The sequence below is a fragment of the Homo sapiens genome, chromosome 10 (assembly GCF_000001405.40).
Source record: "Homo sapiens chromosome 10, GRCh38.p14 Primary Assembly".
Lineage (NCBI taxonomy): Eukaryota > Metazoa > Chordata > Mammalia > Primates > Hominidae > Homo > Homo sapiens.
Genome location: NC_000010.11, coordinates 119,924,822 through 119,944,784, shown reverse-complemented (window position 1 = coordinate 119,944,784; position 19,963 = coordinate 119,924,822). Strand labels below are relative to the sequence as shown.

The 19,963-nt window shown below is 39.4% G+C and overlaps 1 protein-coding gene across 6 annotated transcripts in view, besides 1 other annotated feature; it reads right to left on the bottom strand.

Annotated features, from left to right (window-relative positions):
• Positions 1-127: 127 nt before the first annotated feature.
• The window catches only part of SEC23IP (SEC23 interacting protein), a 51,928-nt gene continuing 32,092 nt past the window's right edge, over positions 128-19,963 (bottom strand). For 2 of the 6 annotated variants that reach the window (NR_037771.2, NM_007190.4), the window contains 7 exons: positions 18,558-18,749; positions 15,023-15,178; positions 14,354-14,456; positions 12,467-12,652; positions 11,618-11,780; positions 10,998-11,099; positions 128-4,199 (listed from right to left, as the gene is read on the bottom strand). Coding sequence is in view for 3 of the 6 variants with exons in the window: in NM_007190.4 (NP_009121.1) it covers positions 11,018-11,099; positions 11,618-11,780; positions 12,467-12,652; positions 14,354-14,456; positions 15,023-15,178; positions 18,558-18,749 (882 nt within the window). In the remaining 3 variants the exon portion in view is untranslated. Of the gene's footprint in view, positions 4,200-10,946; positions 11,100-11,617; positions 11,781-12,466; positions 12,653-14,353; positions 14,457-15,022; positions 15,179-18,557; positions 18,750-19,963 lie in introns of those variants that run through there. The other 4 variants (XR_246061.3, XR_007061940.1, NM_001411070.1 and 1 more) reach the window with 4 other exon arrangements.
• Positions 10,549-10,718: an enhancer, noted in NCBI's record as "experimental_10351 CRE fragment used in MPRA reporter constructs". NCBI's record gives its function as "activates a minimal promoter by MPRAs in K562 erythroleukemia cells, with activity observed for both the introgressed and non-introgressed 10:121693664 variant alleles {active_cell/tissue: K562}" and the evidence as "EXISTENCE:reporter gene assay evidence [ECO:0000049][PMID:34662402]".

The following is a 19,963-nucleotide window of genomic DNA, read 5'->3' as shown; positions in this document are numbered from 1 at the left end:
CAGCGGCATAGGAGAGTAATGCATCTTAGCTGGTAGCAAGCACTTTCCAATATTCCAAACTGTGCTCCTTTCAACAAGAGTGAATGCTATTAAGCGGCTGCAAAAATAAAAGCACCACTAGAAATGCTTTCTTTAAAAATTGTTTAATGAAAATCACACTCAACACATTCACATAGCTCTCTCTCTGCATTTCGTGCTTAACAACATAATTTCTTCAGTCGCCCCAGTTGTGATGTTCTTTCCAACCTCGCGTCTTTCCACAGGTCTGGAATGCACTGTCCTTTTTCCGTCTTCACCTGGCCACATCTCTTTACCTGTCTTTTAGGTCCCTGACTGTATTAGTCCATTTTCACACTGCTATCAAGGTACTACCTGAGACTGGGCAATTTATAAACAAAAGGGGTTCAAGTGACTCACAGTTCTGCATGGTTGGGGAGACCTCAGGAAACTTACAATCATGACGAACCTCGGGGAACTTACAATTGTGACGAAAGGCAAAGGGGAAGCAGGCACCTTCTTCACAAGGTGGCAGGAGAGAGTGCAGGGAAAACTGCCACTTTTAAAACCATCAGATCTTGTGAGAACTCCCTCACTATCACAAGAACAGCATGGGGAAACAGCCCCCATGATCCAATCACCTCCCACCAGGTCCCTCCCCTGACACGTGGGGATTACAATTCAAGATGAGATTTGGGTGGGGACACAGAGCCAAATCATTATCACTGACACCACCCCTGAAGCTGGGAAAAGGGCACATGGGGATTCACTGTACCATTCTCCATACTTTTGAGTATTTGTGAAAATTCCATAGTAAGGTCTTTTAAAAACCACTCTTTATACAAGAAATGAAAGACAAACATGGTGGGTTATCCCAACCACACCAGTCCCACCTGTCCATGAACCTGAACTGCAGCACATCCACTAACGAATATGTAGCATTGCCCACTATCTCACAGATGTGTCCTCAATAACCCCTGGCCTGTTTTATGTGTCATCATAAAATTTCATATATTGAAATATGTGAAACTCATTTCACTTAATCTGAAGCTGAAAGAAGTATTAAAGAGCTGGAATTATTTCCCAAACTCCCACTGGTGTTAACAACATGACATTATTTTCAGTGTTCTCTGGGACCAATACATTCGGGAAATCTGCAAGAGTTGCTGTTTTATTTTTTATTCATTTATTTTTTTTTGAGACAGAGTCTCGCTCTGTCACTCAGGCTAGAGTGCAGTGGCGAGATCCCAACTCACTGCAACCTCCACCTCCTGGGTTCAAGCAATTCTCCTGCCTCAGCCTCCTGTAGCTGGGACTACAGGCACATGCCACCATGCCCAGCTAATTTTTTTTATTTTTAGTAGAGATGGGGTTAACCCCCTGAGGAGTATTATAGAAATGTCATGAAGACAGGTTAGCTGACAGTCTGTCCCGTGCACCGCAGGGACAGTCAACAGCAGGAACACAATGTCAGCACCCCAGCTCATAGAGGAACTGAATTCTATCCACTCTCCTCTGAGGACCCAGCCCTGGGAAACTGACTCAAACTAAGCTGGAATGCCAACTTATTAAGTTACAATGAGAACTATAACTTGGAGGAAAACCAAAACACTCAGTGTCTGCAGTTCAAGTTTCCACCAGAAAGCTGCTTGGTAAACACTAAAGTACAGCATTAAGATAGTTAGATGCCTCAAGTCATAAAAACCTGAAACAATGGTACTATAAATACCAATCATCCTAGGTTTTCTGGGATAATCTTCAGTACTCTTATCATGAGACCAAATGCTGTGAGTTACTATTTCAAATACATGATCATCCCTGCCAAGATAGCGGCATCTCCTCCTTTTCATGTACAGGGTTCTATATAGATCACACCTTTCCAATAACATACTTACCTCAAAAATCACTCGAATCTGTGCAGTTTCCTTGTCTTATACTGTGGTTTTGAGAAAACATGCTTGTCTGGTTGGATTCAAGAAGCACGCGTGTCCAGCAGACTTAGAAAGCAGGTTCCTCTTGTCATACAGCACGTTAACATAGCTGACGAGGCCTGGGTGTCTTCATCAGTACTGTGATGACTCTTTCACCTTTGACTTCAGATGCTGGCGCTTTTTACTTTTTGTGCCAAACTCTACACATGAAACACTTTTGGAATAACTACAGACATGACTTTCTTTATCTGGGGAAAAGGAGGGCATTAAACCAGATTAGGGGCTGGGAGGGGAGGTTGTCAGGGGATGAGCTGCTCCTGAGGAAGAGGCAGAGATCAAGCTTCACTCAGCAGCTGGATTCTCACCTAGTTTATAGACTGAAATCCTGCAAGGTGGTTACAACAGTGAACAATATGTTCATACATAAAGACTCTACCCTCAGGGGATCTACTGTTTTTTGGTTTTTAAGAGACTGAATAGTAATACATACATACATACATATGTGTGTGTGTATATATATATATGTATGTATGAGTATATATATCCACAGGCAGAGTCACTCAAAAATTCTATTTTCTGTGTACTCAAGTATTAAAATGAAAGGGCAAGACTGCTGCCACTCAGCTGCCACATGCTTCTTCTACGAACCCTGGTCCTTCTCTGCCCATTACTCAGAAGACAGGCTGAATGACACAAACAAAAATCAGATGTAAGTTGAAAAATCAAATTGGATTTTATTGAAATGTATATAAATAACCCTCATTTTTCTTTATTTCATCAGTATTGGGAAATTAAGTGAAAAGTAATTAAAAAGTAGTAGTCCTGAGAGAGAGAAATGAAGGCTGAAAGGGAATCAAGAAAACCATATTCCATCCCAGATCTGCCACTACCCAGTCTGGGAAAGGCATTTATTGTCCTGGCCTCAGCTGTAGAATGAGGTGGCTGAAATCTATGTTGTCTGGAGTCAATTACAGCTCTACAATCTTGCTGTTCTAATTCTACCATTAGGAGCCAATGCTAACGTTACATACTGACCATATAAGCAGGTACTCAAAATGAAAAGGGAATAAACACTGAGTTCATGGGGACACTTTTAAGGAAGACAAGAGAAATACATAAGTTTGCTGCTTAAAAAATGCATTAATGTTACTGCTTTATTCACACTAATTAGAATACATACACAAAAAATGTGTATCATATATCACTTTCAAAAATTTCCATGTTCCATGAGAACTATGTAAACAATGCAAAATGTTTCCACTACGTAACAAAAGAAAATCAGCATTCCCACATAGTATTAGGAAAATATTTGGATAATCTGAATTTATAGTAAAACAAAGTGATCTGAATTTGTAGTAAAACAAAGTGAAATATTACAAAGCAGTCTTGTCATGAAGTAGCCTTATATAACTCAGAAGCAACACATTTCATACTTTCAAACACTTTGGTATAAGTGAAATTAATAGAAAACAAAAAGAAGAAGAAAAAAACCTCTACTTTGGTTTTCACATTATTGGAACTTCAGCAACAAGGCAAGTGCACAGCTACCTTGGATGACAAAATGGAAAACCTCTCATCTGCTTGCTTCTCCTCCTGGAAATGGACGTGCTAGGAGAGCGCTTCCCAGGACTTCTTGAAAATAAGGTGCATCTCACTTCTTTCCACAATCAGGCTCTCAGCAATCGTTTGAGGGATTTATAAAACCTCAGATTCAGTTGGGATATGAGTGATCTTGATTATTTCCTCTTAACAAATATAAATGACCTTGCATTAAGGCAGCTCAGAAGTACAATTCACATTTTAAGTAGAACATAAATCTCTTAAAAATCATATTACTATAGTTTCTCAACAAGTTCATACTTGAATAAAAAGAACATACTGCATTAATAAAAAGAAAAATCCAAGTTTAATAGCCCACTAACAATACTTTTTAAGAAACAGAAATAACCGTTTACATGCTACAAATATTTCTTCATTGATATCACATATAACTTTGACAACTATACAACTAAACTGATCTGTGGAATTTTTCATGGCATCATTTTTATAATTATGTTTTCTCACCTATACTGTCCAAATGTGGTACTGATTTTTTTCACTGTGTTAGTTCTGTGTCCTGTCTTTTGAATCCCTATATCCGAGAATTGTGGCTGAGCAATTGTTAATGAATCACTCTTCTGTCATCCATCACAGGAGCGAAGTGGGAAAGTCCTCTGAGGATTTTCTCAGCAATGGAAGTTGTACTGGGACTTTCTGTGCAGACAAGAAAGTCTTAAAAAGGAAAAAAAAAAAAAACCTCAGTGAACTTTACAAATTTACAGTCAAATACCATGCATCGTTGTCTTTTCTGAAGTAAAAGAACAGACAATCGGCCAGGCACGGTGTCTCACGCCTGTAATCTCAGCACTTTGGGAGGCCGAGGTGGGCAGATCACAAGGTCAGGAAATCGAGACCATCCTGACTAACATGGTGAAACCCCATCTCTACTGAAAATACAAAAAATTAGCTGGGCATGGTGGCGGGTGCCTGTAATCCCAGCTACTCTGGAGGCTGAGGCAGGAGAATGGTGTGAACACGGGAGGCGGAGCTTGCAGTGAGCCAAGATGACGCCACTGCACTCCAGCCTTGGGGACAGGGTGAGACTCCATCTCAAAAAAAAAAAAAAAAAATGGACAATCCAGTGCTCAACTTTACTGACAAACACTGCAAACCGCCTCCAAAGAGCACAGCCTGTAAGCAAGTCCTCAGGCCTTCCAAAGGGACAAGAATGCCCAGGAAACACTCAGTAAGATTAACCAGCATGATTTCTTCATAGCAAAGCCAGTACAGAGAGTAAAAGACACAATTTAAAGTTAGTTATGGCCAAGTGTTGTGGCTCACGCCTGTAATCCCAGCACTGTGGGAGGCCGAGGCAAGTGGATCATCTCAGCTCAGAAGTTCGAGACCAGCCTGGGCAACTTGGGGGAACCCTGTCTCTACCAAAAAATAAAAAAATTAGCCAGACGTGGTGGTGCACACCTGTGGTCCCAGCCTCTCGAGATGCTAAGTTAGGAGGATCGCTTGAGCCTGGGAGTCAGAGGTTGCAGTGAGCCAAGATTGCGCCACTGCACTCACACAAGCTGGGTGACAGAGTGAGACCCCTTCTCAAAAAATTAAAATATTTTATTTTATTTTTTTTCTTTGAGACAGAGTCTCGCCCTGTCGCCCAGGCAGGAGTGCAATGGCACGATCTCAGCTCACTGCACCCTCAGTCTCCCAGGTTCAAAAGATTCTCCTGCCTCAGCCTCCCAAGTAGCTGGGACTACAGGTGTGTGCTACCACGCCCGGCTAATTTTTGTATTTTTAGTAGAGACAAGATTTCACTATTTGGCCAGGCTGGTCTCGAACTCCTGACCTTGTGATCCGCCTTGGCCTCCCAAAGTGCTGGGATTACAGGCATGAGCCACCGTGACCAGCTAAAATATTAATAAAAAATAAAGTTAGTTATCTGCCATGTTAATTTGAGGCTTTTTTATTTTTTATTTAATTATTTATTTTTGAGACAGGGTCTCACTCTATAATCCAGGCTGGAGTGCAGTGGTACGATCACAGCTCACTGCAGCCTCAATCTCCCGAACTCCAGCAATCCTCCCACCTCAGCCTCCCAAGTTGCTGGGACTACAGGTGCACACCATCATGCCCCAGTGATTTTTTTTTTTTTACTTTTAGTAGAGACAAGTAATGTCTTGTCTATGTTGCTAAGCTGGTCTCGAACTCCTGAGCTCAAGCGATCTGCCTGCCTCAGCCTCCAAAGTGCTAAGATTACAGGTGTAAGCCACCACACCTGGCCAATTTGAGGCTTTTCAAAGAACAATCCTAAAAAGGTCTAAAAGGACATGAACATAAAACAACCATTCAGCAAAACTGATCTAAGCTTGAATGAACTATGTATAGAATAATTGTTAACATTTTAAATGGATTATCTTATGACATTAGTATAGTATTAGAAACTTAAATTCTTGCCTAAATTTTACAGCCAAGTGTAAGAAGAAGTAAATAAAACAATTATAGTGAACGAATCATATGTGAAATAGAAGGTTCTGAGTTTTCCATATAAGGTGATGGCAAAATCCTAGAATTACTATTCTTTTGGTTTTGTTTGTCTTGCTTTGTTTTGTTAGGGGAGAGAGCGTCAGGGGAACTTAAATTATTTCGAACTTCATTCGGGATAACTGCAAAGACTATGGTATACTGAGAACTTCTACTGCCAGATATTATGTAAAAAATTACAATTATTAAAACACCATATTTCACCAAATCTAAGACACTGTTGATTGTGACACTTCACTGTTATGTACCATAAAAAGATGCCCAGAAAGGGAGTCTCAAAGGAGAACCCCTCACAAAAAGTGGGGGACTAAACATCTATAGTCTCAATGAGGGATAAAAGCAAGCAACTACATGCAGAAGGGATGGCAAAGAGGCCTGCGCACCTCTTCCTTGACAATGGAAAGAGGGAACAAAAACTCCAATATCTGAACTGACAACCCCATCCCTGCAAATTTTGGGGGCTGAAATCACACTACCAGCATCATCCTAAAAAATCCCAAGCAGAGAAATTAGCTTAAGCAGAGGCAAGTTGGTAAAGCCCCTCCCCCAGTGACCAGCAGAAGAGAATGCACAGCTTCTCAGAAAGAACTCAACTTCCGTTAAGGCAACAGCTGACTTAAATTTTTTTTTTTTTTTTTTTTAAGAGACGAGGTTTCACTATGTTGCCCAGGCTGGTCTCAAACTCCTGGGCTCAAGTAATCCTCCCACAGCGCTGGGATTACAGGTATGAGCCACTGCACCAGCCCCAACAGCAGATTTTAAGATGCATTACAAATTTAAATATGTTAAAATGTGGAAAATAAATGGCTTGAAATCAATGAAGTATCATAGACAAATAAATCACCAGAAGAGATGAGAAAGCCTAGGAAACAAATATTAATTAAAATGTCAAACAACAGCAAAATATTTGGCATATGATAAAAATATCAAACCAATGACAAAAGGGTACATTATTCAATATATGGCACAGACAGAAACGATTATGTAAGAAAAAAGTTAAATTGTTCTCTACACCTTACTCTTCTAAATTACAAAGCCAAATGGGGAAAAAAAGAACTAAAAAGAAAATAAATGTAAATATCTAAAAAATAATTAATCATAAAAGACTGGGCTATGTTTTTTGTTTTTTTGTTTTTTTTTTTTAGACGGAGTCTCGCTCTGTCATCCAGGTGGGAGTGCAGTGGCACAATCTAGGGTCACTGCAACCTCCGCCTCCTGGGTTCAAGCAATTCTCCTGCCTCAGCATCCCAAGTAGCTGGGATTATAGGTGCCAGCCACCACACCCATCTAATTTCTGTATTTTTAATAGAGATGGGGTTTCTCCATGTTGGCCAGGCTGGTCTCAACCTCCTGACCTCAGGTGATCCGTCCACCTCGGCCTGCCAAAGTGCTGGGATTACAGGCGTGAGCCATCATGCCCAGCGTAGGGCTACGTATTTTTAAAACATGCTCCCCTCAAACTGCCGCCAAAAAAATCCAAAGTATAAGGAAAAATAAAAGGCTAATTTCAAACTGGGAAAAAATACTTATAATGACAAAGGTTAATATCCTTAAGTATCATATTTATAAATCCATAAGAAAGAAAAGGACCCTGGCCGGGCACGGTGGCTCACGCCTGTAATCCCAGCACTTTGGGAGGCCAAGGCGGGCGGATCACGAGGTCAGGAGATCGAGACCACAGTGAAACCCCGTCTCTACTAAAAATACAAAAAATTAGCTGGGCACAGCAGCGGGCGCCTGTAGTCCCAGCTACTCGGGAGGCTAAGGCAAGAGAATGGCATGAACCCGGGAGGAGGAGCTTGCAGTGAGCCGAGATCACGCCACTGCACTACAGCCTGGGCGACAAAGCAAGACTCCGTCTTAAAAAAAATAAAATAAAATAAAATAAAATAAAGAAAGAAAAGGACCCTACCCCGTACCTCCAAGAAAACACAAAGGTCATGAACAGGCAACTGACAAAAGAAATATAATCAGCCAGTTAAGATACACCCAAAGAGCTCAACTTCACTAATAATAGAAATGTAAGTAAAAACGGTATTATAACTATTTCTGGCTATCAAATTAGCAAAAAAAAATTTTTTAATCAGTAATACCCAGTGTTTCCAAGAGTGCAAGCATACTGGCCTTTACATACTGATGGTAAATATGAAAATTGAGCAACTTTTCTGGAATGCAATTTAGCAAAATGTAGGGATCAAAAAGCTTTTTTTTTTTTTTTTTTTTTGAGACGGAATCGCATGCTGTTGCCCAGGCTGGAGTGCAGTGGTGGAATCTCAGCTCACTGCAACCTCCACCTCCCAGGTTTTAAGAGATCCTCCTGCCTCGGCCTCCCAAGTAGGTGAGATCACACCCTGCTAATTTTTCTGTATTTTTAGTAGAGACGGGGTTTCACTATGTTGGCCAGGCTGGTCTCGAACTCCTGACCTCAAGTGATCTGCCCGCCTCGGCCTCTCAAACTGGGATTACAGGCATGAGCCACCGCACCCAGCCAAAAATCTTTTCAAAATATGCAATATTCTCAGAAATAAGAACACTGCTTCTAAGAATGTATCCAAAGCAAACAGAGATTGGCAAAAAGTGTGTAAAACTACATATCAGAGTTATTTATAATGGAGAAAATTTGGAAAATCATCTAACACCCAACAATGGGGTAAAATAAAGTATTTTAATAAAAGAACTATAAAATGGAATGAAATGCAACTATTAAAATATCACGTATCACTGTAGTACTGTTCATACTAATAAAAGATTAGAATAACTTCAATGCCCATCAGTAGGGACTGCTTAAACAGATTATGGTGCAATAGTCAATGGAATACCTAAAAAGAACGAGGTCACTCTCATGTTCTGATCCAGATTCTTCTCTCCACCTGAAGTGGTCTTCTTCCTCCAGATATCCACCTGGCTCGCTTGCTCAAATGACACTTTACTTTACCCGTGAAGGGGGTCCCTTGCCATCTTATATACATTAATAACTTGAACCCATCCCAAATGAATTCCTCTCCTCCTTGTCCAGCTGCTCAGTCTTTACCATGTGGTTCATTTCAACTGTCCACGTGCTGTCTGCCTTCCATTAGAGGAAAAAAGGTCCTTGAGGGCAGAGGCTTTGGTCCACTGCTGTGAAACCCAATACCTAAAATAATACCTGGCACTTAAGTAAGGTGCTCAACAGATACTGGACGGATGGATGAATGGACGGATGGGCGGACAGATGGATGAATGGATGGATAGATAGATATGGGACAATCTCAAAGACACAAAGGTAATAACGGTGTGTCAATTTTGCTATCATTTGTCTTTTTTTTTTTAGATAGAGTCTCACTCTGTCATCCAGGCCGGAGTGCAGTGGCGCAATCTCAGCTCACTGCAACCTCCAACTCCTGGGTTCAAGAGATTCTCCTGCCTCAGCCTCCTGAGTTGCTGGGATTACAGGCACCTACTACCATGCCCGGCTAATTTTTGTATTTTTAGTAGAGACAGGGTTTCACCATGTTAGCCAGGCTAGTCTTGAACTCCTAACCTCAAGTAATCCACCTGCCTCGGCCTCCCAAAGTGCTGGGATTACAGGCGTGAGCCACTACACCCAGCCTCTTTTGTCTTTTAAAAAAGAAAAACTTAAAAGTGTGTGTGATGTGTTAACAGATATCTGGAAGGATACACAAAACGTGGAACACTGGCTGCCTCTAGGCAGGGAGGTTGGGGATGAGTTATGGGAAAGCCATCTTTCACTTCTGGCCTTGCATTTCCCAACTACAGGCACCCGCCACCACACCCGACTAATTTTTGTATTTTTAGTACAGACGGGGTTTCACTATGTTGGCCAGGCTGGTCTCGAACTCCTAACCTCAGGTGATCTGCCCGCCTTGGCCTCCCAAAGTGATGAGATTAGAGGTGTGAGACACCATGCCTGGCCTACACTTTAGTTTTCTTTTACTTTGTTACAAGTTTAATTTTGGAAATGGAGCCAAAAAACTTTCTCTAAGGAAGCCCTACTAAAAGTACTTACCTCTCTAAAACGAGGAGGTAGAAGATGAGGCTGAAGGGAATGTTCATTTACCACTTACTATTAGAAAACCAAAAATGGCAGGAACTTCCTTTGATTTCAGTAATTTAGAGCTCAGCATTTTGTGTCTGATTCTTTCAAAGCCTTTAAAATTTCTAACTTTGTAAAAAACACATTACTTGTTTTTAAAAGTAATGCATAATCTAGTGAGGAAAACCAGGTATCTGGTGTCTCAGGAGGACAGTTAGGAATACAGAGTGTGGCTGAGCTGCACGTCAGCTGACCCATCACAGACTTAACCTCCTTCTCTATTCTTTCCCTCTATAAAGATTGGGAATGCTCAAAACATTACTTCTACAATCTTTCATACAGACTGGAGATATTGGACATTAGACACAGGCCTAGTCAATAGGTATGAGTAAATTTTTGGACAAGCTTCTGCTTCCCTAATTAAGAGCGACAGATGTGAGGAGTACTACCCTCTCCCCTCTTATTCATGTTGTGAATGTAGATATGGTATCTGCAACCATGGGGGCACCTTATAACTATGAGGCAGCAAGAGCCAACATTCAGGTGGGAAGAGGCAAGCACTCTGGGTATCTGGTGGAGTCACTCAACAGAAGAACCCTTCTTGTTACGGAAGAAAAATAAACCTCTATTTGTTTAATGTATTGTAAACTGGGTTCTGTGAACCTGCAACCAAAGGAATTCCTAACTGATATTCTTGGGAATCTATTTTAAAAAGAAACTAAAAATAACTCAAATTCTATGTAAATTTAGAAAGAAGACTGTAATAAATCAGAAATGTAAATTACAAACCAATTATCTTCCTTAATGTCTCTATTGCAAATTTTTAAAAACGACGACAAAAACTCAGAGGAAACAGAAAAAAGCAAAATCAGTCAACATCAACTCCATACAACAGATTTGAGAATGCAAACATTCAGAATTTATACATTCAATAAGGATAAACTCACACAGTAAAACTGAAGTTTGATCAATGCTGGGGCTGTTCTGGACTAATGTTCATTGTTCGATAAATTTCTTTAAGTAGTAACAGAGCAGTATCTTCAGATTCCCTATGAAAAGGAAAAGCATATTTACTTAAGAGACAATTAGAAGAAATTAACTTCTATGCACAATGGTTGAAAATGCAGGTTCTATTCTATTCAACTCTATCTAAGAAGGGCAAATGATAGCAATGTAATCTCAGTGTAATAAATAAAGCAGCGTAATCTCAGAGCTGTCCTTAAAAACTAGATGAATACTGATTAGCTCCAAAATAGCTGTGTTGCAATTCTCCTTGGTGACAGGGATACAGGAAAGAATGGCATTTCAAAGTCCCTACCACTCCCACTGTGAAAGGCATTCCCACAAAAACAGTGTGCAAGAACCAAGGGTCTTTGGTCAAAAGCAGATGACATACTGCCATCTTGTGGGTAACTAAGGGGGAAAAATAACGATTCTGAACATATAGTAATTCAAATGAATATTCATAGTACATTGTATCAGTAAAAGAATCTCACTAAAACTAAAATTGCTGCACGTGCTAGCACCAAAAGCCCACTCAAATGTTACCAAATTTAAGAACACTTACCAATAGCATAAGTGACTCTGAAGAGCGAAAAGGTATTCATTAAAACTCTCTATTGGTTTTTCTTGGAGAACGTAGTCAATTCGGCGGCCTCCATTTAACATTCCAACCTTTCCTAAGTAGTCCTCATCCTTGGAAAAATCTGGACTTTCAACAACCTTTTCTGCTAGAATTTAAACCATTTCAATATCAAAGTCAATCACTTAATCTTTATCCTTTGACTTTAGCTGACTTTCTGGGCTCAATGAGAATACTGCTTGACGCATGTAGCAACCTGAGGAGCTACCAGGCTCACTCCCCGTTCCTCCAAAGAGCCAGGGGAAGAGGGGCTGGTTACCCGAGAGAGAGGAGAAAAGAGCCAACAAGCTGAGAGAAGTTGTGAAGATAAGGGGTGAGAAAGCATTGTAGAAAGAAAGGAAACAGGATTAGAATCTGAAGAAGTCAAAAACATCACAGCACGATGACCTTCACATTGCATGTCAAGTCTGTAACATAGTTAAACAACAGTTTCAGGAAGAAAACCTCTCAGATTGAGTCTTTAAAATGCAAACCCTAAAACAAATTGAGTTCTCAACTCGGATATTCCACTCTGGCCTTAAGAATCTCAATATAATTTTTAAATTGCAGAGGAAAAAGTTCAGTAACTATCAGATAAAAACCCACTAAAAAAAGATGGCATGGATTTTGAAGTAATGCTATTGACAGTACAGTTTATCTTAACAGATTTTCCTTTAAAGAGCTTCTATAATTTAACCAAAAAGTCTAGAAAGGAAATGCATCATCATATAACTTTTAAGTATTATGTTCATATGAAACATTTGTATTAGAAAATGCCTCAAATGTCAAATTTACCTTCAACTACTTGCTTTTCTTCTTCTTCTTTGATCTGATTGGCCACCTTCTCCAATTCTTCTTGCAACTGGGTTGAAGACGTATGAGCACGGGCAAACTCATTTAATGTCTGCCAAGCACTTTTGAGAGAGCTAATAAAACCCTGCTTCAAATCAGATCCCATACGAGAGAGACTCTCTTTCAATTCTAAAGAGATTAAGATGACACAACAAGTTAATTAGTCACTGGGTAAACTTCTGCCTCACAAAAATTGTAAGTTAACACTCTTCTCAGACAGGATAAGACTGTTTCTTCCTCTTTTCAATGTCAAATATACGGAGTGCCTCAGCCAAGAACCCTCAGCATGTTAAAATGTCATGGATAGTCTTATTGCTTTTTTTTTTAATGACTAAACTTGATCCAGCAAAAATCTATAAATTTTCTCTCTCCAAATAAAAGAAGTTCAAATACCATAAAAACGTAAGCACATTCAGGCGCGGTGTCTCACACCTGTAATCCCAGCACTTTGGGAGGCCGACGTGGGTGGATCACGAGGTCAGGAGATCGAGACCATCCTGGCTAACACGGTGAAACCCCGTCTCTACTAAAAATACAAAAAATTAGCCGGGCGTGGTGGCAGGCGCCTGTAGTCCCAGCTACTCAGGAGGCTGAGGCAGGAGAATGGCATGAACCCGGGAGGCAGAGCTTGCAGTGAGCCAAGATTGTGCCACTGCACTCCAGCCTGGGCAACAGAGCAAGACTCCGACTCAAAAAAAAAAAAAAATGTAAGCACATTCTTATGCCTTTTTTGTTTGTTTTTACTGTAAGTTTAAACATAGGGGCCAGACACAGTAGCTCATGCCAGTAATCCCAAAACTTTGGGAGGTCAAGAAGAGAGAATCATTTGAGGCCTGGAGTTCAAGACCAGCCTGGGCAACATAGTGAGACCCTGTCTCTATTTAAAATAAAAAATAAAAATAAAAAGAGGCCTACGAGATTTAAAAATCACTGTTTTTCTAATCTGTAAACAGGAAGTGGTTTTGAGGATTCTTTTTTTTTTTTTTTTTTGAGACGGAGTCTCTCGGAGACTGGAGTGCAGTAGCACGATCTTGGCTCACTGCCACCTTCGCCTCCCAGGTTCAAGTGGAGAATTAAACATTCTGATAAAACCACAATTTAAACTCCAATTTAGAAATGAAGAAATCCCTGCTCCTTCACTTTTTCTACTGTTGTCTAATAATCACATGTGAATTCAAGGTCTCTGAGTTATCAAACGCATGCCTTATTTTAACTTCAAAAGAGTTCAATATTTTTAAAAAGCATGTTAGCAAAACAAACAAAAAACACACTTTCACATAAGAGTGCGTAATCACTTTTCCTTCTCTTCTACCCCTCCCATCCCTTCCACCCAAACTTTTAAATGTAGCGTTAATACACACCATTAACAGGAAGAAGAGAAACCTAAATTCAACTTGGAATCACCAATCCATTATGTTTAATGAATTTTTTTAACAGGAAGGTGTGTCTAGTTAGCAAGAAAATAACAGCTCACTTCGACAACATCAAGTTTATTTCTTGATGGTCTGTTCATTACTTTAAATACTGTTCTTCTTCCTAATTCCAAAACTTGTAACCAAACTCTATCAAAATCTAATTATGCATCTTATTGCCTTATTACCAACTTCTCCCTATTCCTAATTACCTTGACAATTAGAATGCCATCAAAGAGAAATAATTCATTTGTAATTTTGTTAAAGCTCTTCCAAATTCTTAGTTTAAAAGTTCTGAACATAGTAGGCACTTAAATAATATTAATTCTCTCAGAGACGATTTAGTGTCAAAATTTTCATAATTCATTACAGATTACAAATGACAGGAAAAAAAGTTTTTATAGTATTTGCTTTTTACCTAAATGAAGTCTTTTTCTGCCTTTGTGATGTGGAATGAGAACAGCTTTTAGGTCCAAATCTGGAACAATCATAGGTTCTAATCTATATGCCACTGGATCAAGCTATAAATAGAAGAATTTATGAATAAATAAAAGAAATTTATGAAAGCTGTTTTGAGTTATATGCCTTCGCTGGGTAAGAAAATGGATACATGGCAAATCAGAGATTTTTATTTTTCTCCACACCTTATTCAAATACTGACAATTATGAAAAGATTTTCTAGTTTGTGTGTAAGATTACTTTGCAAGCAAAGCAAAAGAATTATTTCCCTGAACAAAGGCTTTTGATAAGTTTATTGGAAAGTGTCAGACTATACCTCTTAGAACAGAAAGCTGAACCTTATAAAATCAAGATAGGTATTAATTCCCAAGAAATAAGAATATGAGAATTTACTAGGATAAAGAGGACAGGTTCTTCATCTTCTTCAAAAAAGAAAGTAAAAGGTCAGGCACAGTGGCTCACGCCTATAATCCTAGCGATTTGGGAGGCTGTGATGGAAGGATCACTTGAGGCCAGGAGTTTGAGACCAGTGTGGTCCACATAGTAAGACCCCATCTCTATAAAAAAGTAAAAAATGTTTAAAAAAGAAAAAAGGATTTTAAAAAACAAAGTAAATTCAATTACTCACCGGATGATAAATATTGAAGAACCCTTTACAGGTAGGAAGGCTGTAATTCTCATCTATCCTATCAACTCCTCGAATAGTGAGAAACATAGCAATTGGAGACCCCAAGGCAAAGAATATCTCTGGTTCAAAATCTAATGAGTTGTAAGCAACAGAAACCTGGAAAGAATCAAATAACAATGAAAGATGATTGTTCCAATGTCACCTAGTAGAAAATTCTTTTGAATTTTCAGGCCGGGCGTGGTGGCTCATGCCTGTAATCCCAGCACTTTGGGAGGCCAAGGTGGGCGGATCACGAGATCAGGAGATCGAGACCATCCTGGCTAACACAGTGAAACCCTGTCTCTACTAAAAATATAAAACAATTAGCCAGGCATGGTGGCATGCGCCTGTAGTTCCAGCTACTTGGGAGGCTAAGGCAGAAGAATCGCTTGAACCCGGGAGGTGGAGGTTGCAGTGAGCCAAGATCACACCACCGCACTCCAGCCTGGGTGACTGAGCAAGACTCCATCTCAAAAAATAAAAAAAAAGTACTAAAAAATTTCTCTTTAAAATCTTTATAGACTATTATATCCTCTGGCTATACTTTTACATATTGTTTTGCACGGCATAATAGTATATAAGAATTACTATATTTATTATGGTTATAAATATGGTTAAAACTTTAGACTTCTAAACTCAAACTGCCTGGGTCTGAATCATGGTTTCATTCACTGTGTGACCTTGGGCAAGTTTCTTAACCTCTCTCTCCTCCACCTCAGTTTCCTGATTTATAAAATGGGGATTATAACAATGCCAAGCTCACATGTGATTGAAAAATAAATAACCTAATCCACATAAAGTGCTTAGCACGAGCTCGGCACAGCTTAAGCACTCAATGAGCATTACTTCTGTTACTATTATAACTATCATCCTCTCCAGTTAAGTTTCTTTCCATCAGAAAAATGATTTGTCCTGAAAGAGCACATTTTGAGTAGCTTACATGTAGCCTCTCTCAAGAGAAAGCACTGTCATCTGAATAGCACTGTACAATTTGCAAAGCTCTTTCATTTGTTTCTCAGTAGCAGGAAATGTGTCTTTTTATTTTAGTATCTTGAGAGTGAAGCACAATGAATGGCATAATCCAAGTGTTCAACAGAGGTCCATAGAAAGAGGGAGGCAAGGCAAGAACCATTATGCCTATGGCAAAGCTCAAATATGTGACATGACTTAACCCAAGAACACAGAGCCAGTGAGTGATGGAGTGCTGACTTAGATGTGGGACTTCTAATTCCAAATCCAATTCTCTTTCTACTACACTAAGCTGCCCCTTCTAACAAAGTCTAGACTTCACATTCCTAGGCTTGCCCTTATATTTGCAAATTCGACAGTTTTGTTCCAGCAAACAAAAAGAAGAAAAAGAAAGTTAAAGAACAATTACAAACTGGAAGAAATATTTATAACATACATGACAAGGAGCTAATAACCTTAATATGTAAATATTTTATAAATGTCAGTAAAGGAAAAAAGAAACCAAATAGAAAAACAGGTAAATTCAACACTTCACAAAAGAAAAATGTTTAAAAAACATATGAGAAAATAACCTCACTAGTGCTCAAAGAAATACAGTGTGATACCATTTTCCCTATGGGGTTATCAGAAACGTAAATGAAATACTAAAAAGTAAGAAGTACTAACAAGAAAGAAAAAAACTGTATGAAAATACACACAAAAAATTAATTCTTTACAATAGCGTTGTCAAAGTGAAACTACTACATATTTTTAAAGGAAAATGATAATACCAGTACTGGCAATGGACAGAGGAAACAGGCAACCTTCTAAACTGCCAGTGAGAATACAGATTGATGTCTCTCCCAGCGAAGGGACTGTGTCCATCCTTTGGCCCAGCTACCCTATGTCTACCAACTTAACTGGAAGAAATAATAAAAAATGTGCACAGAAAACTGGCTTTAAAATGTTCATCACTAGACTACTTAAAAGAGTAAAAAGTAGAAATTGCCTACATGTTTAATATGATGGGTTGAATTGTGTCCTCACAAAACATTTATGTTGAAGTCCTAACCCCTAATACCTCATAATGTGACTTTATTTGGAAATAGGGTATTTAAAAAGGTAATCAAGTTAAAATGAGATCACTGTGGTGGCCCTAATCTGACTGATACATAAAAAGGGGAAATTTGGACACACTGACAGACACTCACAGAGGGAAGATGATATTAAGAGATAAGGAGAATATGACATAGAAAAGAAGCCTGGAGGGATGCATCTATAAACCTATAACTGCCAAAGATGGCCAGCAAATCCCTAGCAGCTCGAAGAAACACGAAAGGATTCCCCTCCAAGTTTCAGAGAGAAAATAGTCCCACCACCACCCTATCTCTTCTGCTCTGCAGAACTGTGTGGCAACAAATTTCTACTGTTCAAGGCCACCCAGGTTGTGGAACTTTGTTATGGCAGCCTTAAGAAACTAATACCTTCAATAATAAGGAAATAAGAATAAGTCATTATCTCTCCAAACAGTGAAATTAGTCATTACTGATTACGGCAGTCATTAAAAATGCAGCTGGAGGCCCGATGCAGTAGCTCATGCCTGTAATCCTGGCACTTTGCGAAGCCAAGTCAGGAAGACTGCTTGAGGCCAGGAGTTCGAGGCTAACCTGAGCAACACAGCAAGACTGTCTCTACAAAAAATGAAAAAATTAGCCAGGTGTGGTGGTGCAGGGCTACACTCCCAGCTACCTGGGAGGCTGAGGTAGGAGGTATCCCTTAAACCCAAACCCTAAACCCTTGTTTTGAGGTTACAATGGGCTATGATTGCATCACTGCACTCCAGCCTGTGCAACAGAGCAAGACTCTGTCTCCAAAAAGGGAAAAAAGAAAAGAAAATGAAGTTGTAAAGGAACATTTACTTACATAAGAATATATTCCTCTAAAACTTCATTTTTAATACAAATCAAACATCCAATTTCATTTTGTACCTTCATGAACTTACTTATGGAAATGCATCTTTATATACCCAACTGTAAATATCCTGACAGTAACACTGTCTAAAAGGATTTTAATAATTCTAAAAGCCACTGTGATACAAGTATGTTAAAGTATATCATTAAATGCAGCATTGGTCAATTTTTATAAGACTTTTTCCCCAAGGGAAGAATTATGAGTACTAGGAAACATAAGTTGAGTGAATACAGCCAAGTTGCTCTCACAGAAACTGAAGTATATTCTGAACATAATTTCTTAACTATGGCCACTTCTGTTGTTAGTGGCTATAAGAGACTGATGCTATAAAAGTATGAGCGGTGGGAAAACTGAAATAGAGACAATTTCAAAAGTTAGACAACACGTTCTGTATGCATTTAATCCCTTATTGTGAGCACTGTTGAAGAAGAAAAAAATTTTCACTAAGAGAAAATCAGTTTTTTCCACATCACAAATAAATGTTAAATAAATATTTAAAGAACTTAAAGCCAACCCAAATGATAAAGATTATGATTCCAACATGAACTATGTAGCCCCAGTCAATATGTAAACTCACCTGTCCGGCGCCAACTTCAAAAGATTCATAATTCACACACACAGAAGACACGCAAGCACCAACTGGAAGTTTCCTCTTTGGCTCATTGGATTCTGAGGGGAGGGAAGCCATGTCTTTAGTCTTCTGGGCACTTTGCTCTTGTCCTTTTGTAGAAGTGGCCGCCACTGCCTTCTTTTCTGACGCTGCTTTTTTCTGTAAAATACCAAAATTTAGTAACATAATCATGAGAAAAAGTTCAGCTCTCAGCTATCATTACAAAACATGCTATCTCAGTATTAAGGAATGATTAGCTACTTCTTAGGAATAGTAACAACATTGTGATTACTTTAAAAAATGCCTTTTTATTCTCTGCAGCTTTTGCTTCAGCTAATTTAAAAAAATGTCCAGGTCAGGCACAGTGGCTCACCCCAGTAATCTCAGCACTTTGGGAGACCAAGGTGGAAGGATAGCTCGAGACCAGGAGTTCAAGACCAACCTGGGCAACATAGTGAGACCTCCATCTCTAGAAAAAAGAAAAAATTAGCCAGGCCTGGTAGTGCACACCTGTGGTCCCAGCTACTCAGGAGGCTAGGGTGGGAGGATCACTTGAGCCTAGAAGGTCAAGGCTGCAGTGATCTGTGATCGTACCACTGCACTCCACCCTGGGCAACAGAGAGAGACCTGTCTCAAAAAAATTTTTAAATTAAAAAAAATGTTTACATGTCCTTTTTAGAAATGCATACTAAATATTTAGGGAACAAATGTCATGATGTCTATAGTTTAAAATTCTTAAGAAAAATAATTAAGAAGCAAAGAAAGTATAGCAAGACAGTTACAACTAAGCAGAAGTATTGGCTCTCATTAGACGAATCTCAAAAATACTGAGTAAAAGAAACCAGGTATAAAAGAATACATACTGTTCATGCTACTTAGATGAATTTTTAAAATAGGCGAACTATTCCATATTGAAGGAAATCAGAAGAGTGGTTTTGTGGTAGGAGGAGTTAACTAGAAAGAAGCATGAGGGAGCTACCTGAGCTCTCTCATGAAACAGAAATGAACACAGAACATAGAAATGAACTCAGAAATGTTCAATTTCTTGTTTTAGGCAGTGACGACACAAGTGCATACAATCGTGAAAACTCACCCTACTGCACACTGAAGATCTATGCATTTCAGCACAGTGGCTCATGCCTGTAATCCCAGCACTTTGGAAGGCTGAGGTGGGTGGATCTCTTGAGCTCAGGGGTTCAAGACCAACCTGAGCAACATGGCAAGACACCATCTCTAAAAAAACAGAAAAATTAGCTGGGCATGGTGGTGCATGCCTGAAGTCCCAGCTACTTGGGAGGATGAGGTGGGAGGATTGCTTGAACCCAGGAGGTGGAGGCTGCAGTGAGCCATGCGTGCGCCACTGCACTCCAGCC